Here is a 21216-nt window from a genome sequence, read left to right on the forward strand (position 1 = left end):
CCCACCCCCAGCTGCCCAAGCACCCCCACTTCTGGGCTGGCTTCAGCGCAGAGCCCTCGACCACCTCCTTGGGGGTCCTGACACCCTCAGACACTATTTCTCAGGGCTCTGGCTGCACCCCAGGGCGCTCAGACTCCTCCCCCAGACACGCCCCCACCCCCACCTGGAGGGCGCGAGCCCCTCCCCCTGGGCCTCTGGCTGCGCCCAGAAAACTCAAGCCCCTTCCTACCTGGACCTTCAGCTGGCAAAAGTGCAGGGCGGAGAGAATCAGGGCAAGCGAGCGTGGAGTCTTCTGAGCAGGCCGGGGAGGGGCCTCTGCGGGGCGAACGGCCTCGGCCCGGCGAGGAGCGCCGCGGTGGAGACGGGGTCCGCTGGCCCGAGAGCCCCCGCAGGCTGCGGTCGGACGCTGTTGGACGCAGGCTGCCGCTCTCAGCGTCAGACAGGACGGCCTGAGGGTAAGGGAGGGAAGCAGGAGGCCGCAGAGTTAGGAACTTCGGGGTTAGCTGGCAAAAACGACCAGGGGAGGCTGGGGGCCGCCTCATCCCAAATGCTCCCGCTTACAAGAAGCCTTCTGATTTCACCTCCTCCACTAGCTCAGTCCTCAGCTCGCCGCTGAGGCATCCCATTTATTGCGAAGACATCATTTGGCATTGCTCACAGGTGGGCTCCGAGAGGGCCGTGCCTCCCCTCTGAGACTGGGGGCTCCCCAGGGCAGAGGCCGGGTGAGCTAGCAGGGGTGCTGAGCAGCTACAGCCTGGGTCCCAGGGCCCCACCCATCTGCAGTTCAATCCGAAGCCACCGAAAGGCGAGGCGGGGGAGCCCAGGACCGCCTGGCAGGGCCCTGTCTTCCCGCCTTTCTGGGCTCACACCTGTGCCAGGTCCCTTAGGCTCCGCTGTAGCCCCTCTCCATCCTCTGTCTCCAGGGCCGCCTGCTCCTGTAGCCGCAGGGATTCCTGGAGTGCGGTGAGGGAGACAAAGAGTGGTCGGGGTTCTGTCTTACCTGAAACCTCCCCTTTCCCTCCCTCCCTGGCCCACCACTGATCAGGTGGCCTCTGAAGCCATGTCCATAGGCCAGCCACCTGGTAGACCCCACAGCAGGCCCGAGGCCCTCAATGAACAGACCAGGCCCAGAGAAGAGCTGGGTTCTGCCCCAGGTCACACAGTCGATTGCAGGAGAGCTGGACCTAGAACCCAGGCCAGGCCCCACACAGAGGGGTGACTAAACCAGGCTGGACCCTGGGGGAGTGAGTGTCCCACTGGTGGGGGTGGACAGTTGGGATTCCAAAGGCAGCATCTGGACCTGGAGAGCGTGGATGGGAGTTCAAGTCCCAACTCTCCTGCTTACTGGCTCTGAGACTGGACAAGCATTTCCCCTCTTGGGCCTCAGTTTCCCATCCGTGTCATTAGGATTACTCTACAGGGCTGCTGGGAGGGAGAAATGGGATGGAGGAAGTGAGTGTGCTTCCCACAAAGCCTGCACACCTGTGTGGGCTGAACCTGAGTGTGAGTGGGATGCTGGGGGTGGCCCAGGCAGCCCAGCCCTAAGCCTGTGTCCATGGATCTGGCCGGTACCCCATCCCACCCTGCCCCATCTCAGGGGCAGCTGAAGCTCACCAGGGCCTCAAGCTTCTCGGTGAGGTCCTTGTCGACCTGATCCTTCTCCAGATTCTGCTTCTGTAGACGCTTCACTGCCAGGCCCAGCTCTGTCACTCTGGAGTTGGGGGAGCAACAGAGGTGAATACGGGACCACCCCAGCCTCTCAAATCCACTAGCTCTGTGTCCACCATGCTTCTCCAAACCCGAGGCAGGGACCCTAACATCCACCTCCCTGGCTGTGTGACCTTAAACAAGTTGTGGCTCCTCTCCAGACCTCACACTTCTCATCTGTGAAATGGGAATGAGGTTCCCACCAGCTTTATCTCATGGGAAAGCACTGGAGGACTTACCCAGGTGGCAGGAGTAAGGGGCACAAGTTGTTTTTTTGTGGTTTTCTTTTGAGACAGAGTTTCGCTGTGTCGTCCAGGCCGGAATACAGTGATGTGATCTTGGCTCACTGCAACCTCCACATCCTGGGTTCAAGCGATTCTCCTGTCTCAGCCTCCCTCGTAGCTGGGATTAGAGGCACACACCACCACACCCGACTAAGTTTTGTATTTTTAGTAGAGACAGGGTTTCGCCTATTGGGCAGGCTGGTCTTGAGCTCCTGACCTCAGGTAATCTCCCACCTTGGCCTCCCAAAGTGCTGGGATTACAGGTGTGAGCCACAGCACCCGGCCACAAGTTCTGTCATAGGAGGCTAAGCTGTTTATGATAAACACTGGGCAACTGCCTTCGGAACCTCAGTGGGGTGCCTGGGAAGGCTGGCTGAGCTCACAGAGGAAGGCCCTGCTCCTAGTGAACAGATGCTCCCTTCTCCCCAACTCTCCAGTTTTACCTTCTGCAGTGACGCCTGCCTCATGCAGCACCCACCAGGGACCCTCCTGGCACTGAGGTCAGCCTTGTCCAGGTCGCTTTGCATCTGCTGCTGGGACAGGTCCTTCTCGTGGAGCACCTTGTCCCGCAGCTGCTCCTCCAGCTGGGCCTGCTTCTCCAGGGCTGGCTCGACCCGGCTCTCTGCCAGCCGCAGGCCTGTGCTCATTCCCAGGCCGGCCTCCTGGACAGCTCCCCTCCCAGCTGCAGCGGGTCCCTTGGGAAGAGAACACAGGATGGGGATGGGATGGGGCTCACTCCCAACTACAAATTAAAACTAGTCTGGGGCTGGGTATGGCGGCCCACACCTATAATCCCAGCACTTTGGGAGGCCGAGGCGGGCAGATCACCTGAGGTCAGGAGTTCGAGACCAGCCTGGCCAACATGGTGAAACCCCATCTCTACCAAAAATACAAAAAATTAGCCAGGTGTGGTGGTGCACTCCTGTATTCCCAGCTACTTGGGAGGCTGAGGCAGGAGAATTGCTTGAACCTAGGAGGAGGAGGTTGCAGTAAGCTGAGATCATGCCACTGCACTCCAGTCTGGGCGACACAGCCAGACTGCGTCTCAAAAAAATAAATAAATAAAAAATAAATAAAACTACACTGGGCTGGGTGCGGTGGCATGCACCTGCAGTCCCAGCTATGCGGGAAGCTGAGGCAGGATTGCTTGAGCCCAGGAATTTGAGGCCAGCATGGGAAACATAGTGAGACTCCATCTCAAAAACTAAAGAGGAAGAAGAAAAAAACAACAACCCTACACTGGGATGCCATTTGTCCACTATCAGATTGGGAAAAAAAAAAAGGGACACATAATACACAAAGAGAGGCTCTGGGGCAACAGGCCTTCCCCTACACAGCTGGTGGGAGGGTGAGTACAATCACAATGGAGGGCACTGAGGGAGATCTTCGAAAACTATGCAGGCATAGGACCTTCCCCACCGGCTCCTCCTCTAAGAATGGATCCTACAGATATACCCCAGCACAGAGGAGATGGCTTGTGGACAAGGAGGTTCACTGCAGCATTGCTCATGTAAGATATCCTGGTGACAACCTAAATGTCTATCAAAAGGGGACTGCTACTAAGTACATGATGGTACATCCTTTAAGTGGAGAACTGTGGCCAAGAAAAACCAGTGGAGAAGTTCTTCCTGGCCTGATCCAGAGCCACCTCCCAGTTATAACTAGTAGGTGAAAAAAGCATCTTCAAGAACTGTGAAGATGAAATTTTACCAGGCGTATATACAAAAAAGTGTGTGTGTGTGTGTGTGTGTGTGTGTGTGTGTGTGCGCGTGTGTGATCTCATTTGCTCATATAAAATAACCCTGGAAGGTCACTTAAGAAACTGATAGGCCAGGCACGGTGGCTCATGCCTGTAATCCCAGCACTGTGGGAGACCGAGGCGGGAGGGTCACCTGAGGTCAGGAGTTCAAGACCAGCCTGGCCAATATGGCGAAATCCCGCCTCTATTAAAAATACAAAAATTAGCCAGGTGTGGTGGCTCATTCCTGTAATCCCAGCTACTTGGGAGGCGGAGGTGGGAGAATCACTTGAACCCGGGAGGCAGAGGTTGCAGTGAGCCAAGATCGTGCCACTGCACTCCAGCCTGGAGACTCGCAGCACAGCGAGACTCCATCTCAAAAAAAAAAAAAAGAAAAAAGAAAAAGAAACTGACAATGCTTCTTACGGTAACTTGGTGGCCAAAAAAAAAAAAAAAGAAAGAAAATAATTGTATATATAAAAAGAAAAAGAAGCTGATGATGCTGCTTGCCTCCAAGGAAGGAATGGGAATATCTGGGGTCAGAGGTGGGAGGGAGCCATTTTACTGTGTACCCTTTTGAAATGTGAATAGGTGACTTCATCAAAAGTAAAATATAAAAATTTGAAAGGCTACTTACAAAATTTTTTTTTCTTTTTGTTTCTTTTTCAGATGGAGTCTCGCTCTGTTGCCCAGGCTGGAGTGCACTGGTTTGACCTCGGCTCACTGCAACGTCCGCCTCTCCGGTTCAAGCGATTCTCCTGCCTCAGCCTCCCGAGTAACTGGAATTACAGATGTACGTCACAACACCCAGCTAATTTTTGTATTTTTAGAAGAGACGGGGATTCACCATGCTGGCCAGGTTGGTCTTGAACTCCTGACCTCAGGTGATCCACCCGCCTCAGCCTCCCAAAGTGCTGGGATTACAGGCATGAGCCATGACGCCTGGCCTTAAAATACATTAAAAATTATTTGTATTTTAAAAAATTAAAATGTATTTTAAGGCCAGGCGTGGTGGCCCATTTCTTGAGACATAGCAAGACCCTGTCTCAAAAAAAAAAAAAAAAATTAGCTGGGTATAGTGGTGAACACTTATAGTCCCAGCTATTTGGGAGGCTGAGGTGGGAGGATCACTTGAGCCTGGGAGGTCAAGCCTAACATGAGTTGTGATTGTGCCACTGCACTCCAGCCTGGGCGACAGAGAGAGACTGGCTCAAAAAAAAAGTATTTTAAGTCCATAATACAGGTTAAATCCTTTCCTTTCCTTTCCTGAATGACCTGTACCACTGGTTATCCAATAGTAAGGAGGGAAAGTGCCTCATTATAGAATTCTAATTAATATACACAGGAGTGACTAAATGAGAAGCTCACAGTTTTGCAGCCTCTAATGAGTGGGTTGGATCTTGAAAAGAGAGACAGCTGGCATAGGGACATCCTGATGGAAGAACACATTCTACTTATGGAGTCTTGATCAAACGAAAAAGCAAGCAGAAGAGCCTGAATCTGACCTAGCTTTACATCCAACATCCAATTTACAGGAAATACATGGGATAAAGAAATATGTTAATTGACACCATAAGGATGCAACCAGCAAAATCCAGACCATGAGAATCTCCAAGGACAACTAGCCCAGTTTCCTGAACAAATAAGTTAAAAAGGACTTCAAAGACAAAGCATGGGCCGGGCACGGTGGCTCACTCTTGTAATCCCAGCACTTTGGGAGACCAAGGTAGGTGGATCACCTGAGGTCAAGACCAGCCTGGCCAACATGGTGAAGCTCCCATGTCTACTAAAAATACAAAAGTTAGCTGGGCGTGGTGGCGCACTCCTGTAATCCCAGCTACTCAAGAGGCTGAAGCCATAGAATTGCTGAACCCAGGAGGCAGAGGTTGTAGTGAGCCAAGATCCTGCCACTGCACTCCAGCCTGGGCAACAAAGCGAGACTCCATCTCAAACAAACAAACAAACAAACAACCAAACAAACAAACAAAACAAAGCAACCATTCGCACTTTGTGAATGTCTATGGATCCGGATTCAAACAAATTGTAAAGAAAAAACTAAAGCAAGACTATCTGTGACTTTTTATTTATTTATTTATTTTGAGACAGAGTTTCACTCTGTCACCCAGGCTGGAGTGCAGTGGTGTGATCTCGACTCACTGAAACCTCCGCCTCCTGGGTTCAAGCGAGTCTGGTGCCTCAGCCTCCCCAGTAGCTGGGATTACAGGCATGTGTCACCACACCTGGATAATTTTTGTATTTTTAGTAGAGATGGGGGTTTCACCATGTTGGCCAGGCTGGTCCCGAACTCCAGACCTCAGATGATCTGCCCGCCTTGGCCTCCCGAAGTATTGGGATTATAGGTGTGAGCCACTGCACCTGGCCTATCTGTGGCATTTATGAGACATATGGAAAATTTAGACGCTGGCTATTTGATGATATTAAGAAAAGATTATTAAACCAGGTGCAGTTTCTCATGCCTGTAATCCCAGCACCTTGGGAGGCCAAGGCAGGAGGATCACTGGGGCACAGGAATTCTAGACCCGTCTGGGCAACAAAGTGAGAACTCGACTCTACGAGAAATAAAAAAATCAGCAAGCCTGGTGGCATGGACCCGTGGTCCCAACTGCACAGGACCTGAGGTAGGAGGATTGCTTCAGACCAGGAGGCCAAGGCTGCAGTGAGCCATAAAGAAAAGAAAAGATTACTAACTAAAAGTAAGTCCTTGATATCAGCCAGATGACACTAAATCCCATCCATTCCCCTGAGCTCACAGGGGGGCTGCCTAGACTCCAGAAAAAAGGCTGTGCCTAGTCCTAGACTCTGGCATGCAGGAGGTCAGAAGGCTGAATTCTCCACTAAACTCAAAAGTATAACCAGTCCAGACTGGGTGTGGTGGCCCGTGCCTGTAATCCCAGCACTTTGGGAGGCCGAGGCGGGCAGATCACCTGAGGTCAGGAGTTCGGGACGAGCCTGGCCACATGGTGAAACCCCATCCCTACTAAAAACACAAAAATTAGCTGGGCGTGGTGGCACATTCGTATAATCCCCGCTACTCGGGAGGCAGAGGCAGGAGAATCGCTTGAACCTTGGTGGGGCAGAGGTTGTAGTAAGCCGAGATCGTGTCATTGTACTTCAGCCCGGGCAACAAGAGTAAGACTCTGTCTCAAAAAAAAAAAAAAAAAAAAAGTATGTGGCCGGGTGCGGTGGCTCACGCCTGTAATCCCAGCACTTTGGGAGGCTGAGGCGGGCAGATCATGAGGTCAGTAGTTCAAGACCAGCCTGGCCAACATGGTGAAATTGCGACTCTACTAAAAATACAAAAAGTAGCTGGGCGTGGTGGCATGTGCCTGTAATACCAGCTACTTGGGAGGCGGAGGCAGGAGAATTGCTTGAACCTGGGAGGCGGAGGTTGCAGTGAGCCATGATCGCACCACTGCACTCTAGTCTGGGTGACAGAGCAAGACTCCGTCTCAAAAAAAAAAAAAAAAAAAAAAAGTAGCCCTCTCTAAGTCTTAATTCCTTCATCTGTAAAAACAGAATAATGACTTATGTTAGAGATGCTGTGAAGAGCCCAGGGAATAACAAGTGCTGTCTGCATACCACATAACCTGTCCGCTCTCAAAGGTGGCTGGGCTGATGATGTCTGGAAGAAGAAGGCTGGGAGAAATGCTGGTTCCCAAAGTGGTCAGTACCAAGGCCACCTAGTCCAACCCTTGCCCCTAGGCCTGTGGTTCCTTTGGGGCAGATTCCAGTCTCGCCACCACCCAGCCAGGGGAGTCTGTGTTGAATGGGCCATGTCCTGGAAGTATGAAAGGCTCAGCCCTCTGAGCTGCTGGATGGCTCTGTCCTGTACCCGCCAGTCCATAAATGGTCAGCAGAGCACATGGCCCACCTACCCGAGCCAAAGGAGTTGGGAAAAATCTGTCTGGGTGGCCCCCTCATCCTCTCAACACACAGGCCTAGAGGGAAAAGGGTACTGTCTAATGCCAGTCAGTGCTGTCCTGAGCTCAGCTGCTAAGAATAGCAGGGAGTGAGGTGGTGGTAACCAGCAGGACTCAGGCAGAACAGAGGCCCATTACACACCTGGCTGCCCACAGGCTGCCACCACCTGCTCTTCCACCTTTCATGCCAGTTCCTACCCTACTCATCCACACAGACAGAAAGCTCTGGAAGGGGACGAAGGTGGCACAAAGCACCCTGACAAAGTAGCCACTACCCAGGCTCAGGGATCACATATTCCCCCAGTGTAAGCCACTCCCAGCCCTGAGCTGTAGGAGCAGAGATGCACAAAGGCCCCTCCCCACTGCTGCTCTGTCCCAGGCCAAGGCCAGGTGGTGGCTATGCAGTCGGGGTGCTCAGCTAGTAGCATAGAAGGCTAAAGCCAACCCCATCTCTGAATACCCCAGTGGACCAAGGATAAAGGAGCCTTTCTCAAAAGCAGTTACAGGCCAAGCATGGTGGCTCACACCTGTAGTCTCAGCACTTTGGGAGGCTGAGGTGGGAGAATCACTTGAGCCCAGGGGTTTGAGACCAGCCTGGGTGCCACAGTAAGACCCTGCCTCTTAAAAAAAAAAAAAAATTTAGCTGGGTGCTGTGGCATGTGCTTGTGGTCCCAGCTATGTGGGAGGCTGAGGTGGGAGGATTCCTTGAGCCTGGAACTTTGAGGTTGCAGTGAGCTATGACTGGGACATAGCGAGACCCTGCCTCAAAAGAAAACAGTTCTTAACAAGCCCACACTTGGAGTGGCTACTCTTGTACCTGACCCCCAAAGTCGTGTGCCTGATCCTGAGAGCAGACTGCACATATCTGTGGGCAGTCGGCCTGAGACAGCCACCACTGAGTGCCTACAGCACGGCCCATTTGGCCAAGACCAGCAACTTCCCTGACCTTTTTGGATCTCCTAGGTCCCAGTTCAGGGCCCTGAATCCCCACAACCACTGACTGACGGCCCTACCACCTGCTGTCTCTCCTGGCGGCCACAGCAGCAGCAGCAGCAGCAGGACCATCTCTGGTATCACATGAGGTAGGGATCAGATGGCTCTGAGAACAGGCCAGGACTGAGTATGGGGTGGGGGTGGGCAGGAACTCTCTGCAAGCAGGCACTTTCTGACCACCACAATTGCTTAAATAGAACAGGTAATGATGCTGCCTTTTGGACCTGCCTAAAGAGCAGAAGTCGTAAAAGACAGAACAGCTAAGGCTGATAAGGGGGTGAGAGACAGGGACAACCGTGCCTCACTGCAGGGACGGAGAACCTACTTGATCCTTTGAAGAAGTAATCTGGCAACAGTCTTAAAAGTGACTGCAGTTCAAACACTCTAGCCACACGACTCCAGCCCTGGGCATCCTCACAGCATTGTTTACAAAGGCAAAAGTCCTTCCAAACTAGGGCACTTGTATGGGCCACAGCAGACCCCCTGGCCCTAAAGATGCTCAGTAAGATACATTGATAATGTGGAAAAATACTCACGGGATAACATTTGATAATAAAAATAGGATGCAAACTTCTGGAAGTGAGGGACATGTCCATTACCTTGATGGTACTGATGGTTTCACGGGTTTTATCTATATGTTAACACTTATCAAATTGTACACTTTAAGTGTGTGTAGTTTATTGTATATTAATCATAGCTCAATAAAAATGTTTTAAGAAAAGAACTGAAGGTGACAAATTTTTTTAAAGTTTTCTATACAGCATAATCTGAACTACATACATTATAAGATAAACAGACATGAAGTTAAAAAGCTTCTGCATAGCAAAGTAAACGATCAACAAAGTGAAGAGACAGCCCACAAATGGGAGAAAATATTTGTAAACTACCCATCTGACAAGGGATTAATAACCAGAATATATAAAGAACGCAAACAACTATATAGGAAAAATACTAATAGTTCCATCAAAAGATGGGCAAAAGATACGAACAGACATTTCTCAAAAGAAGACATACAAATAGCAAACAGGCATATGGAAAGGTATTCAACGTCACTGGTCATCAGAGAAATGCAAATCAAAACTACAATGAGATATCATCTCACCCCAGTTAAAATGGCTTTTATCCAAAAGACAGGCAACAACAAATGCTGGCGAGGTTGTGGAACCCCTGTACGCTGTTAGTGGAAATGTAAATTATAATAGTGCAATCACTATCGAGAACAGTTTGGAGGTTCCTGAAAAAACTAAAAATTGATCAGGTGTGGTGGCTCATGCCTGTAATCTCAGCACTTTGGGACGTCGAGGTGGGAGGATGACCTGAGGCTAGGAGTTCGAGACCAGCCTGGCCAACACAGCGAAACCCCATCTGTACTAAAAATACCAAAATTAACTGGGCGTGGTGGTGTGTGCCTATAATCCCAGCTACACGGGAGGCTGAGGCAGGAGAATTGCTAGAACTCGGGAGGCAGAGGTTGCAGTGAGCCAAGATCATGCCACTGCACTCCAGCCTGGGCAACAAGAGCAAAACTCCTTCTCAAAAAAAAAAAAAAAAAAAAAAAAAAAAGGCCAGGCACACTGGCTCACGCCTGTAATCCCAGCACTTTGGGAGGCCGAGGCGGGTGGATCACGAGCTCAGGAGATCAAGACCATCCTTGCTAACACGGTGAAACCCCGTCTCTACTAAAAAGACAAAAAATTAGCTGGACCTGGTGGCGGGCGCCTGTAGTCCCAGCTACTTGGGAGGCTGAGGCCCAAGAATTGCGTGAACCTGGGAGGCGGAGCTTGCAGTGAGCTGAGATTGCGCCCCTGCGCTCCAGCCTGTGCAACAGAGCAAGACTCTGTCTCAAAAAAAAAAAAATTTTTTCAAAAAGAAAAAACTAAACTAAAAATTGAGCTACCATATGATCCAGCAATCCCACTGCTGGGTATATACCTGAAAGAAGGGAAATCAGTATATCGAAGAGATATATACCTCAAAGAAGGGAAATCAGTATATCGAAGAGATATCTGCATTCCCATGTTTGTTGCAGCACTGTTCACAATAGCCAAGATTTGGAAGCAATCTAAGTGTCCATCAACAGATGAATAAATAAAGAAAACACGGTACAGATACACAACAGAGTACTATTCAGCCATAAAAAAGAATGAGATCCTGTAATTTGCAACAACATGGATGGAACTGGAGGTCATTATGTTAAGTGAAATGAGCCAGGCAGAAAAAGACAAACACTGCATGTTATCACTTATTTGTGAGAGCTAAAAATTAAAACAATTGAACTCATAGAGGCAAAGTACTGGATGGTTACCACAGGCTTGGAACGGTAGTGTAGGGCTTGTGGGGAGATGGGGATGGCTAATGCGTACAAAAAAATCGAATTAATAAGACCTGTCTGGTAGCAGAACAGAGTGACTGTAGTAAATAATAATTGTACATTTAAAAATAACTAAAAGAGTATAACTAGATTGTTTATAACACAAAAGATAAATGCTTGAGGGGATGGATACCCCATTTACCATGATGTGATTATTACGCATTGCATGCCTGTGTCAAAGTATCTCATATACCCTATAAATACATATACCTGCTACATACCCACAAAAATTAAAAATTAAAAATGTAACACAAAGAAAGAAAACAGAAAAGAATCGCATTTGAATAGTCATGTTAAAATAACAAGATAGCAGGTGCTTTTCCTTCTTTTTTTAGAGACAGGGTCTTGCTCTGTCACCCAGGCTAGAGTGCAGTGGCATGCAGAGGCCAGCTCACTGCAGCCTCAACCTCCTAGGCTCAAGTGATCCTCCCACATCAGCCTCCCTAACAGCTGGGACTACAGGTGCACACCACCATGCCCAGGTAATTTCTGTATTTTATTGTAGAGATGGGGTCTGGCCATGTTGCTCAGGCTGGTCTTGAACTCCTGGACTCAAGCAATCTACCCACCTTGGCCTCCCAAAGTGCTGCGATTACAGGTGTGAACCACTGTGCCTGGCCCTCTAAGTTTCTGCTAAAATGTACTTGTAACTTTTACACTGACTACACTCAAAAGTATTAAACTTGTAAAGAAAAGGCCCTGGAGGAGTTTGTTCTTTACAAGGTCAGTCAGAAGCTACAAGGGGCCAGGCTGGGGCCAAGGTGAGGGCAGGTACATGCAGGGGCAGATGCTGGGTGTGGAGTAGGTGCCAGGTGCTAGCTGGGCATGAATGTGCACCCGCTCCCTGACCTCTGCTCCCTGACTCTCACAAGGAACTAGCACTGCCTGGAGACAGGAAGAAGCAGCGTACGGAAGGCAGACTCTCTGGCCAGAGATCTCGCAGCCAGGAGCACAGTGAGAACAGAGCCTAAGCCTATCTGTCCAGAGCCCAGGCTCCCTTTCCCTACAACTGCAGCCTCCTTATTCTGCTCTGGCCCAGCAGAGTGAGGAGGGGCCGCCCACCCAGCCATACCTGCCGGTGGCTGCTGGGGGTGCATGGTCAGAAGAGGAAAGATGCGGTTCAGGTAGTCATTCAGCAGCTTCTCCTGCACAATGCCTGAGCCACAAGTCAGAAGGGAGAAAAGGGCCACACGATGAGTGCAGCTCCTGGCCCCTGCTGGCCCCAGAGACTTCTGGTCCTAGGCCAGCCACAGGTGCAGCAAGGCCTGAGGCCTTTGTCCCTTCCTTCTCCTCCCAACAAGAGGAGCCTCCTTCCTTCTCTGCCAGCCCTTACCTGTGACCCTGGATTTCTCAGCATCTGAGGTCAGCCTACAGCTCTTGCGGGAGAAAGACACGCCGGCCCCCTTGGATGCCATCCTTCGTCTCTCATGGGCAGCCAGTGGTCCTGGAGGCTGAGGCAGACACAGAGCCTGTCTACTCAGGGCCAGCCAGGGGCCCCCACACCTGACCTCAGTCCTGCCATGGCAGGAAGTCTTGGGAGCAGGTGAGGCCAGGGGCATGCACACTAACACATAGGACAGGGGAATGCAGGGGCTCCCAGCTTCCTACACAGGCAGGGTAGCCAGGGTCTAGGCCCATGTAACAGGGACCACTTCTTGTTCTCCAGTGTCCCTGTGCCCAGCACAGGGCTGGGCAGAGAGCAGGTACCAGATATATTTTTGCCAAACCATAACAAAATGTCTCAGCTCTGTGGAAATCAGACCAAAATGTCCAAAGTGAGGTGTCCTAGGGGCAGAGCCCCTGTATTCATCTCGGTTGTAAGCCATACTGAGTCCAGCTCACAACCAGAAGCGACAATCCTACACATTCCCCCAAGTGCAGACCACCACTGGTCTGGTCATCTCTAGCCATAAGTCCCACTTACTCCCCACAAGGCTGGAGCCTCTTTCCTCAGCCCTGGGTTCCTCCCTTCTTTTATCCATGGTCCTGATAGTTTCACTGTTCCCACTCACACATGTGGCCTCCCACCTCATCCAAGCACCACCCTTGCCCAGCCCTCATGGCAAACTCCATTGGTCCTCCTAGTGCATCTATCCCTCACATCATGTTGCTGCTGCAGCTGCTCCAAAACCTGCACTGAGTCCCTGGTGCTGGCCTCACTGATGTGTAGCTGTGCTGTCCAACACAGCAGCCGTCATCCACGTGAGGTTACTTAAATTTAAAGTTTTAAAAATTAACAATTCGATTTCTCAGTTGCCTCAGCCACATTTCAAGAGTTCAATGACCACATGTGGCTAACGGTTACTCTATTGGACAGCACAAAGGTAGAACATTCCCACCATCATATAAAGTTCTATTAGACAGCGCAGGTCTAGAGTTTCGCTCTGCAGCACTGCCTTAGCCAGCACTCCCTACTCTGCCGTTCAGTCTCTTATCTCGCCCCAAACAGACCCTCTACTCCCGCCACAAACCCCTGTGGGTCTGCACCACGCCTGCTCCTCGGGAAGGTGATTTTCCCGACCTCGGGCCCTCGGTGGGCCTCCATGATCGGTGCCCCTTCACTACCACAGTAGTTGAAGATCTGATTAAATGCAGTCATTCATTTGATGAGCAGACCTTCCAGACACCCACTCCGGGTGTCAGTTGCTGAGGACCCAGGTGAGAGGCGGACCTTGTCCCCGCCCGGGGACTCCCTGTCACGGCTATCCCGTCCAACCTCGCCGGGGTATCCGGGCTCAGAACTGAACCTACTCCGTCTGGGAGCCCAAGGATGGCTCCCCCAAGTCGCCCCCGCCTGGCCCCAAGCTCCAGAGGACCTGCCAGACCAGCTTCCGCTCGGAGTTTCGCACTCAGATCCCGGCGCTGCAGGTGCCCTCGCAGTGGACTAAACTGGACCGCGAAGGGAATAGCCGGAACCCGCCAGGCTCAGAGCCCTGCCGCCCCTCACTCACCCCGAGCCTCGGCCGCCGCGACCCGGTTCACAACATCCGCCCAACCTCTCGGCTACGGCGTCCGTTCAGGGCCAAATCACGCGCACGCTCGCGCGCTGAGCCTCCAGCCGCGCACGCGCACCGGCCCGCGCCCAGCCTCCGCTAGGGGACCCCCTCCGTGGCTTCCCACCGGGTTGTTCCAGGCCTCAGCTTCGCCGAAAGGCCTCACCACCTCCGACCTCCGCCTGCCCCGGGGATGCTCCCAGCCCTGCTGCGGCAGAACGCGACGTGCTAACCGGAATCCCTAGGCCGCCTGTCTCCTACCCATACTTGGAGGCCCCGCTCAGACGGTCCTGAAAACGTCTGAAAGGCGGTTCCTGCCAGAGTCCCTGCTACCTGTTACCTCCACCCCTATTTAGTCCTAGTGGACAGCTTCGCTCACCTTCCCTGGGATGACACTTCTGGCGGCTGAGATGAGCGAGCCTCTCTGGGCTCTGCCGCCGGGCGTGGGCTGACCTGCCTACAGCTGGGGCCTGATAAGGCAGCAGCAAAAGGGTGGAGGGGAGGCAGTGTTGAAGCTGGGGCAAGTAATTTTCCCCAATTTACAGGGAAAAACCGAAATTCAGAAAAGTTTAATGTCAGCCAGGGGCTGGAACCCAGACCTCTGGCAGCTGTCACTTTCACAATGCCCTTGGGCTGACTAGGCTGCAGAGGGGTTTCACCCCAACCCCAGGGCACCTCAAGTGGCCCCACCAAACCTTCCTAACACCTGACCACTAAGTAGGGAGGCCTCTCAGGGGGCTAGCTGTGCTAGGCCCTTGCAACTGACCTGTGGGACCTGAGGCCTGGCCCCTCATGGCTCCTGTCACCAGGTCTCAGGTCAGGGTCCAGCAGGCCCTGAGCTGACGTGCGGAGCCAGAGCCACCCAATCCCGTAGGGACAGGTTTCACAACTTCCCGGATGGGGCTGTGGTGGGTCACAGTGCAGCCTCCAGCCAGAAGGATGGGGTGGCTCCCACTCCTGCTGCTTCTGACTCAATGCTTAGGGGTCCCTGGTGAGTGCCCCCAACCTTGATCCCCATCTGCCTTCAGGAGGGGCTTGGCCCCATTCTCCTATTCTGGGATGAGAAAAAAGTCAGGGAGCCAGAGGCTCAGTGGGCATGGGGCAGTGACCTTGGCCTCTTGAGCACAGCTGGGAAGCCCTAGGAACACATAGACATGGCCCACTTAGGCCTCTATTAGCACGTCTGCTCTAGCACTGAAGCAGTGTTAGGACCACACAGATGCACGCACACAGCAGGCAGTGACCCCTCCTGAGCCTGATCTACCCCTCTAACCTAGCGTATGCCTTTGTGCAGGTGAGAGCCCAGCTTTGGAGTCTGAATGCCTAGCCAGGGCCCCTGGCTGGGTAATGTGATGGCTCTGAGCCTTAGCATTCTCATTTGAGAGATGAGATGGGGCAAGCTCCATCACCCACTGCTCTCACAGAGCGTGTGTGTTAGATCTGAGCCCGGTGCCTGGGCCACTACACAGAGGCACCGGTGATAACTACCAAGTCTGGGCCTGCTTCCCAGGGGAAATTTTTTGACAAGTATCTGTGCAGGGGGGCTAGACTGGCCCTTGAAAGTGCATACAGGGTCCATCCCAGAAGCCTTGTAGCTTTGATCCCCTGAATGAACAAACTGTGGACATGCCAATACACATTACTGACATGTATGCCCACCTGACCTGCACCCACTCTGCAGGGCAGCGCTCGCCATTGAATGACTTCTAGGTGCTCCGGGGCACAGAGCTACAGCGCCGCTACAAGCGGTGGTGCCCGGGCCTTGGCAGGAGGATGTGGCAGATGCTGAAGAGTGTGCTGGTCGCTGTGGGCCCTTAATGGACTGCCGGTGAGTGGCCACTGGGCATAGATAAGACTGGGGGCAGGGGAGCCTGGGCCGTGGCGTTACCTTGTGCCTTCTTCTCTCCAGGGCGTTCCACTACAATGTGAGCAGCCATGGTTGCCAACTGCTGCCATGGACTCAACACTCACCCCACACGAGGCTGCGGCATTCTGGGCGCTGTGACCTCTTCCAGGAGAAAGGCGAGTGGGGGTGGAGAGGGGCAGGGTGGGAGACAGGGGACCTCAGCCCAAGTTGATCTTCTGTCTCTTGCTCCCAGACTACATACGGACCTGCATCATGAACAATGGGGTTGGGTACCGGGGCACCATGGCCACGACCGTGGGTGGCCTGTCCTGCCAGGCTTGGAGCCACAAGTTCCCGAACGATCACCAGTGGGACAAACACCTTCCCTCCGTCCCGGCCTGGGACCTTCCCCCAGCACACACTATAGTGATGCTCTGGGCCCTCAGGTACATGCCCACGCTCCGGAATGGCCTGGAAGAGAACTTCTGCCGTAACCCTGATGGCGACCCCGGAGGTCCTTGGTGCCACACAACAGACCCTGCCGTGCGCTTCCAGAGCTGCGGCATCAAATCCTGCCGGGTGGGTAAGCGGCGCCGGGTCAAGCTGGGAGAGTGGAGGGACAAGCCCACGCCCATCCACGAACCCACTGGCTCTTTGTCTCCAGCCGCGTGTGTCTGGTGCAATGGCGAGGAATACCGCGGCGCGGTAGACCGCACCGAGTCAGGGCGCGAGTGCCAGCGCTGGGATCTTCAGCACCCGCACCAGCACCCCTTCGAGCCGGGCAAGTACGCGTAGGCGGTATCGGCGCCCTGGGGGCCGGGCTAGGGAAGGTCCAGGACTCCAGGGGCAGGGCTCCGTGTAGGGCAACTGGGCGGGGCCAGATAAGCCAGAGTCCCAGGGTCTTCTTCACGCCCCATTACCGCCCCCAGGTTCCTCGACCAAGGTCTGGACGACAACTATTGCCGGAATCCTGACGGCTCCGAGCGGCCATGGTGCTACACTACGGATCCGCAGATCGAGCGAGAATTCTGTGACCTCCCCCGCTGCGGTAGGCGGCGGGGACCAGGCCTGGGAGGGTACCTGGGAACCTTGGGGAGGGGCGTGGCTTGGCCGGGGAGGTCAGAGGGGCTGGGCGTGACCTGAGAGCATATCCCGTGGAGTACCGTACACCTGGGAAAGGCGGGTTTGGTCCCAGCCCCAGAGGGATCTCAGCTGTCGCTCGGGGCCGGACCTATCTCGGTCCATCTAAGGGTCCGAGGCACAGCCCCGCCAAGAGGCCACAAGTGTCAGCTGCTTCCGCGGGAAGGGTGAGGGCTACCGGGGCACAGCCAATACCACCACCGCGGGCGTACCTTGCCAGCGTTGGGACGCGCAAATCCCGCATCAGCACCGATTTACGCCAGAAAAATACGCGTGCAAGTGAGGTGGGGGGGCGGGCGTTGGGACGTGCTGCTGCGGGTGAGACGGGAGGAGGGTAGTCACGGGCTTAGGGCTGGAGGCTGGCGGGCTAGGGCTGAGTGCAGCGCCTGCTTAGAGACCTTCGGGAGAACTTCTGCCGGAACCCCGACGGCTCAGAGGCGCCCTGGTGCTTCACACTGCGGCCCGGCATGCGCGTGGGCTTTTGCTACCAGATCCGGCGTTGTACAGACGACGTGCGGCCCCAGGGTGAGGCCCAAGCTTGGGGGCTACAGAGCCGGGGCTGGAAGCCTGGAACCGGAGGGCCGGGGCGGGGTCTCGGCCTGATGGCTGCCCGCACCGGCCGCAGACTGCTACCACGGCGCGGGGGAGCAGTACCGCGGCACGGTCAGCAAGACCCGCAAGGGTGTCCAGTGCCAGCGCGGGTCCGCTGAGACGCCGCACAAGCCGCAGTGAATCCCTGGTGCTCCCGGCCCCGCCAGGGCCCTAACCCTGGGGCGGCATGCTTTGATGTCTGGGACCAGAGCCTGGAAATGGTTGAGACTACCCTGCCACGACTTCGCTCCCGCTCCCGCCTCGGTTCACGTTTACCTCCGAACCGCATGCACAACTGGAGGAGAACTTCTGCCAGACCCAGATGGGGATAGCCATGGGCCCTGGTGCTACACGATGGACCCAAGGACCCCATTCGACTACTGTGCCCTGCGACGCTGCGGTGAGCACTAGTGACGCTTGCCCCATGACCCTGCCTCAGCCCTCACCACCAAAGGCTGGCTCCCTTAACCGCAGTGAACTTTGTCTTTCAGCTGATGACCAGCCGCCATCAATCCTGGACCCCCCCAGGTTAGGAGTTGGGCCAGTTATGGGTCAGGCCCTTTAGCCCACGACATCCACACAGTCTGGGTTTCATCCAGCCCACCCCATCCTACAGACCAGGTGCAGTTTGAGAAGTGTGGCAAGAGGGTGGATCGGCTGGATCAGCGTTGTTCCAAGCTGCGCGTGGCTGGGGGCCATCCGGGCAACTCACCCTGGACAGTCAGCTTGCGGAATTGGTGAGGCACAACTGCCTGTCTCCCACAGAGAGGAGCTGAGGTTGTGTCCTCTGTGGTTATGCCACTGGGGGCTGGGAATCTATCCCTGCCCCCAGAGGTCCTAGCCAGAAGATGGCAGGTCTAGCATCTGTCCCAGGAGTCTGTTCCCTGTCCTAATTCCCCACTCCTCTAGGCAGGGCCAGCATTTCTGCGGGGGGTCTCTAGTGAAGGAGCAGTGGATACTGACTGCCCGGCAGTGCTTCTCCTCCTGGTGAGCCTCCCTTGTGTTTGGGGACCCAGTCTCATCCCACCTTCCCCTTTCCCCAGGCAAGCTAACAAGTGAGCCTTGGGGCAACGGACTGAGAGTCACAAATGACCTAGCAGAGCTTCTCTCCCAGCCATATGCCTCTCACGGGCTATGAGGTATGGTTGGGCACCCTGTTCCAGAACCCACAACATGGAGAGCCAGGCCTACAGCGGGTCCCAGTAGCCAAGATGCTGTGTGGGCCCTCAGGCTCTCAGCTTGTCCTGCTCAAGCTGGAGAGGTATGTGGACAACCTGGGAGGGTGTGAGGTGGGGCTGAGCCTTGTGGCCTCAGACCCTGAGTGCCCCCATTCTTGCTAAAGATCTGTGACCCTGAACCAGCGTGTGGCCCTGATCTGCCTGCCGCCTGAATGATATGTGGTGCCTCCAGGGACCAAGTGTGAGATTGCAGGCCGGGGTGAGACCAAAGGTAAGAGCATAGTGCACAGGACTGCTGGTGGCCAGGAGGCCCAGCCCTGGATCTTCCTCCAGGACCGTCTCCTTCTCCCCATTCCCCTCACTGCAGGTACGGGTAATGACACAGTCCTAAATGTGGCCTTGCTGAATGTCATCTCCAACCAGGAGTGTAACATCAAGCACCGAGGACATGTGCGGGAGAGCGAGATGTGCACTGAGGGACTGTTGGCCCCTGTGGGGGCCTGTGAGGTTGGTGGCAGGGCCCTGGGCCAGCCCTGGAAGGGTATGGGGGGCTAGAAATGAACTATTTTATCATGAAGCAGGCTAGTCATGGCTGTGGCCCAGGGCCCTCATCAGTTCTCCTACCTGCCAGGGTGACTACGGGGGCCCACTTGCCTGCTTTACCCACAACTGCTGGGTCCTGAAAGGAATTAGAATCCCCAACCGAGTATGCGCAAGGTCGCGCTGGCCAGCCGTCTTCACGCGTGTCTCTGTGTTTGTGGACTGGATTCACAAGGTCATGAGACTGGGTTAGGCCCAGCCTTGACGCCATATGCTTTGGGGAGGACAAAACTTGTAAGTACAGTCAAGGACAAGACTTGTACTCAAGGCTGAGATTTAATAAAATTCATATTTTTACTACTTCACCAAGGACTTTCTTAAATGAAAATGGTTTTTCCCCCTACAAGTAAACAGTAATAAAGAAGAGAATTATTCCTAGTGCAGTTTGTTTTCATGGTCTTAATTTTTGCTAAGACTCCACTGCTTTTGCCTTATCAATACAAGTGCCAACACAGTGAAAAGGCAAATATCATCTTAGTATTACTCTGAAAATAGTTCTGAGCTAATGGCCTACTGAAAGGAAAAGAGTGGCTCCTGCTATTCTATTAGACTTATTACAATTATCTTAAGTATTCTTTCTACCCTCCTTTAATTGAATGGAAACAGGGATGGATTGGAGGAGCTGTTTTTCTCCTTTCTTTCCCCCGGCAATATTTACTATTTAATGCCACTTACTAACACTCAAAGAAACAAAACCAAACTTCTCAATTGACAGTGCAGTGACCCAACAAAGACACGGGTTCTTGAATTCAAAGTGGAGCAGGAGAGACGGTAAATACACATTTACTTTAATATATATATATTTATTATTTATGTGTTTAAAGCACAAATTAGTTTGGTAAAAAACATCTCATGTCTGTTTTATTTCCACATCCCTGAGACTGACAAGGGGATGCCTATCAATTAATTCATTTAGAGAGCCATACACCCCAAGAAATAAATTATTTGTCCTCTGGAGCTTGTCACAGGGGGATTTTTAAAAAAACATTAAACAGAAAGACAACTGTGCATCTTAGAAAGATAAAAGGCCAATTCTTCCTCTCCGGCTGATAGGTTCTTAATAATAGTGATATCTACTAATAAGATGTTTTACATAGTGTAAAGCATGTTCACATACAAATTACTTAGCCTCTTTGAGCCTCAGTTTTCTTATATGTAAAGCTGGATTAATAGTACATTTTGTGTTTAAAAAGATGATGTATATGAAGTGTTTACCATTTTTCTTGGCATCTAGTTCAGTTCTCAGTAACTGATGTGGTGGTGGTGGTGGTCATAGTAGCAGTAAGATCCGTAGTAATAGTAGCAGCAGTTGTTTTAGAAATTAGTAACTGAGGCCTGGCAAAGTTAAAGGCTCTTTCATTAACACCCAGAGGGGAAGAAATGAAGCTGGTCTTCAGAGGCAGGCTATTTTCACTCTGTGTCCCAAATTTTCCCCCCTAGACCGTTTTTATACTTCTGGGGCTCTCAGAAAATATTCTCAGCTATTCTGTTAGCTTGATCTCCTACCATCTGAGAGTGGGCTTCCTTCAAACAACCAAATTTCCAGGTATTTCTAAACTGCCCTTCCCCTACACCATTCTTTGATTCAGTATTTCAAGACCCCTAAGAGAAATGGTACATTTACGTGTAAGCACAGGATAGTGAAGTATTTACAACAAGTGCTTTGGAGCCAGCAAATATGGATCAGAATGCAGCTTTCCTTTCCTACATACATGACATTGGGCAGCTAATTTCTAAGATTTTACTTCTTTGTCTATGAAAGTGGAGTACTAGTACTTGCTTTGTGCAACTCTGATGGTTGTTACATGAGGTAGCATCTAGAAACAGCTTGCAC

The 21216-nt window shown here is 52.8% G+C and overlaps 2 pseudogenes across 20 annotated transcripts in view, besides 10 other annotated features; one reads left to right on the forward strand and one right to left on the reverse strand.

Moving 5' to 3' along the window:
- Positions 1–14811, reverse strand: part of CROCCP2 (CROCC pseudogene 2) — a 27216-nt pseudogene extending 12405 nt beyond the window's left edge. For 2 of the 19 annotated variants that reach the window (NR_197608.1, NR_026752.2), the window contains exons 1-8: positions 13986–14035; positions 12368–12485; positions 12107–12190; positions 4367–4508; positions 2435–2686; positions 1615–1711; positions 870–953; positions 230–449 (exon numbers count right to left, since the gene is read on the reverse strand). The product of NR_197608.1 is annotated as a CROCC pseudogene 2, transcript variant 9 (transcript). Of the gene's footprint in view, positions 1–229; positions 450–869; positions 954–1614; positions 1712–1946; positions 2110–2434; positions 2687–4366; positions 4509–12106; positions 12191–12367; positions 12486–13985; positions 14036–14406 lie in introns of those variants that run through there. The other 17 variants (NR_197601.1, NR_197609.1, NR_197617.1 and 14 more) reach the window with 16 other exon arrangements.
- Positions 5903–6403: an enhancer, noted in NCBI's record as "H3K27ac hESC enhancer chr1:16963058-16963558 (GRCh37/hg19 assembly coordinates)". NCBI's record gives its function as "activates a minimal SCP1, AML or CMV promoter by ChIP-STARR-seq in naive H9 embryonic stem cells {active_cell/tissue: H9 hESC(naive)}" and the evidence as "EXISTENCE:reporter gene assay evidence [ECO:0000049][PMID:30033119]".
- Positions 7378–8269: an enhancer, noted in NCBI's record as "H3K27ac-H3K4me1 hESC enhancer chr1:16964533-16965424 (GRCh37/hg19 assembly coordinates)". NCBI's record gives its function as "activates a minimal SCP1, AML or CMV promoter by ChIP-STARR-seq in naive H9 embryonic stem cells {active_cell/tissue: H9 hESC(naive)}" and the evidence as "EXISTENCE:reporter gene assay evidence [ECO:0000049][PMID:30033119]".
- Positions 13724–14514: an enhancer, noted in NCBI's record as "OCT4-H3K4me1 hESC enhancer chr1:16970879-16971669 (GRCh37/hg19 assembly coordinates)". NCBI's record gives its function as "activates a minimal SCP1, AML or CMV promoter by ChIP-STARR-seq in naive and primed H9 embryonic stem cells {active_cell/tissue: H9 hESC(naive and primed)}" and the evidence as "EXISTENCE:reporter gene assay evidence [ECO:0000049][PMID:30033119]".
- Positions 13945–14064: an enhancer, noted in NCBI's record as "active region_268". NCBI's record gives its function as "activates an Ori minimal core promoter by ATAC-STARR-seq in GM12878 lymphoblastoid cells {active_cell/tissue: GM12878}" and the evidence as "EXISTENCE:reporter gene assay evidence [ECO:0000049][PMID:35858748]".
- Positions 14155–14254: an enhancer, noted in NCBI's record as "active region_269". NCBI's record gives its function as "activates an Ori minimal core promoter by ATAC-STARR-seq in GM12878 lymphoblastoid cells {active_cell/tissue: GM12878}" and the evidence as "EXISTENCE:reporter gene assay evidence [ECO:0000049][PMID:35858748]".
- Positions 14515–15304: an enhancer, noted in NCBI's record as "H3K4me1 hESC enhancer chr1:16971670-16972459 (GRCh37/hg19 assembly coordinates)". NCBI's record gives its function as "activates a minimal SCP1, AML or CMV promoter by ChIP-STARR-seq in primed H9 embryonic stem cells {active_cell/tissue: H9 hESC(primed)}" and the evidence as "EXISTENCE:reporter gene assay evidence [ECO:0000049][PMID:30033119]".
- On the forward strand, positions 14914–19760 carry MST1P2 (macrophage stimulating 1 pseudogene 2; annotated as a pseudogene). The gene is made up of 14 exons (NR_027504.1): positions 14914–15018; positions 15709–15855; positions 15937–16049; positions 16320–16456; positions 16538–16654; positions 16803–16921; positions 17124–18004; positions 18096–18132; positions 18221–18381; positions 18514–18591; positions 18719–18865; positions 18947–19053; positions 19150–19289; positions 19414–19760. The product of NR_027504.1 is annotated as a macrophage stimulating 1 pseudogene 2 (transcript).
- Positions 16016–16635: an enhancer, noted in NCBI's record as "H3K27ac-H3K4me1 hESC enhancer chr1:16973171-16973790 (GRCh37/hg19 assembly coordinates)". NCBI's record gives its function as "activates a minimal SCP1, AML or CMV promoter by ChIP-STARR-seq in naive H9 embryonic stem cells {active_cell/tissue: H9 hESC(naive)}" and the evidence as "EXISTENCE:reporter gene assay evidence [ECO:0000049][PMID:30033119]".
- Positions 17256–17875: an enhancer, noted in NCBI's record as "H3K27ac-H3K4me1 hESC enhancer chr1:16974411-16975030 (GRCh37/hg19 assembly coordinates)". NCBI's record gives its function as "activates a minimal SCP1, AML or CMV promoter by ChIP-STARR-seq in naive H9 embryonic stem cells {active_cell/tissue: H9 hESC(naive)}" and the evidence as "EXISTENCE:reporter gene assay evidence [ECO:0000049][PMID:30033119]".
- Positions 17876–18493: an enhancer, noted in NCBI's record as "H3K4me1 hESC enhancer chr1:16975031-16975648 (GRCh37/hg19 assembly coordinates)". NCBI's record gives its function as "activates a minimal SCP1, AML or CMV promoter by ChIP-STARR-seq in naive H9 embryonic stem cells {active_cell/tissue: H9 hESC(naive)}" and the evidence as "EXISTENCE:reporter gene assay evidence [ECO:0000049][PMID:30033119]".
- Positions 19156–19656: an enhancer, noted in NCBI's record as "H3K4me1 hESC enhancer chr1:16976311-16976811 (GRCh37/hg19 assembly coordinates)". NCBI's record gives its function as "activates a minimal SCP1, AML or CMV promoter by ChIP-STARR-seq in naive H9 embryonic stem cells {active_cell/tissue: H9 hESC(naive)}" and the evidence as "EXISTENCE:reporter gene assay evidence [ECO:0000049][PMID:30033119]".
- Positions 19761–21216: the final 1456 nt, after the last annotated feature.

This window comes from Homo sapiens, chromosome 1 (genome assembly GCF_000001405.40).
Source record: "Homo sapiens chromosome 1, GRCh38.p14 Primary Assembly".
NCBI classification, from domain to species: Eukaryota; Metazoa; Chordata; class Mammalia; order Primates; family Hominidae; genus Homo; species Homo sapiens.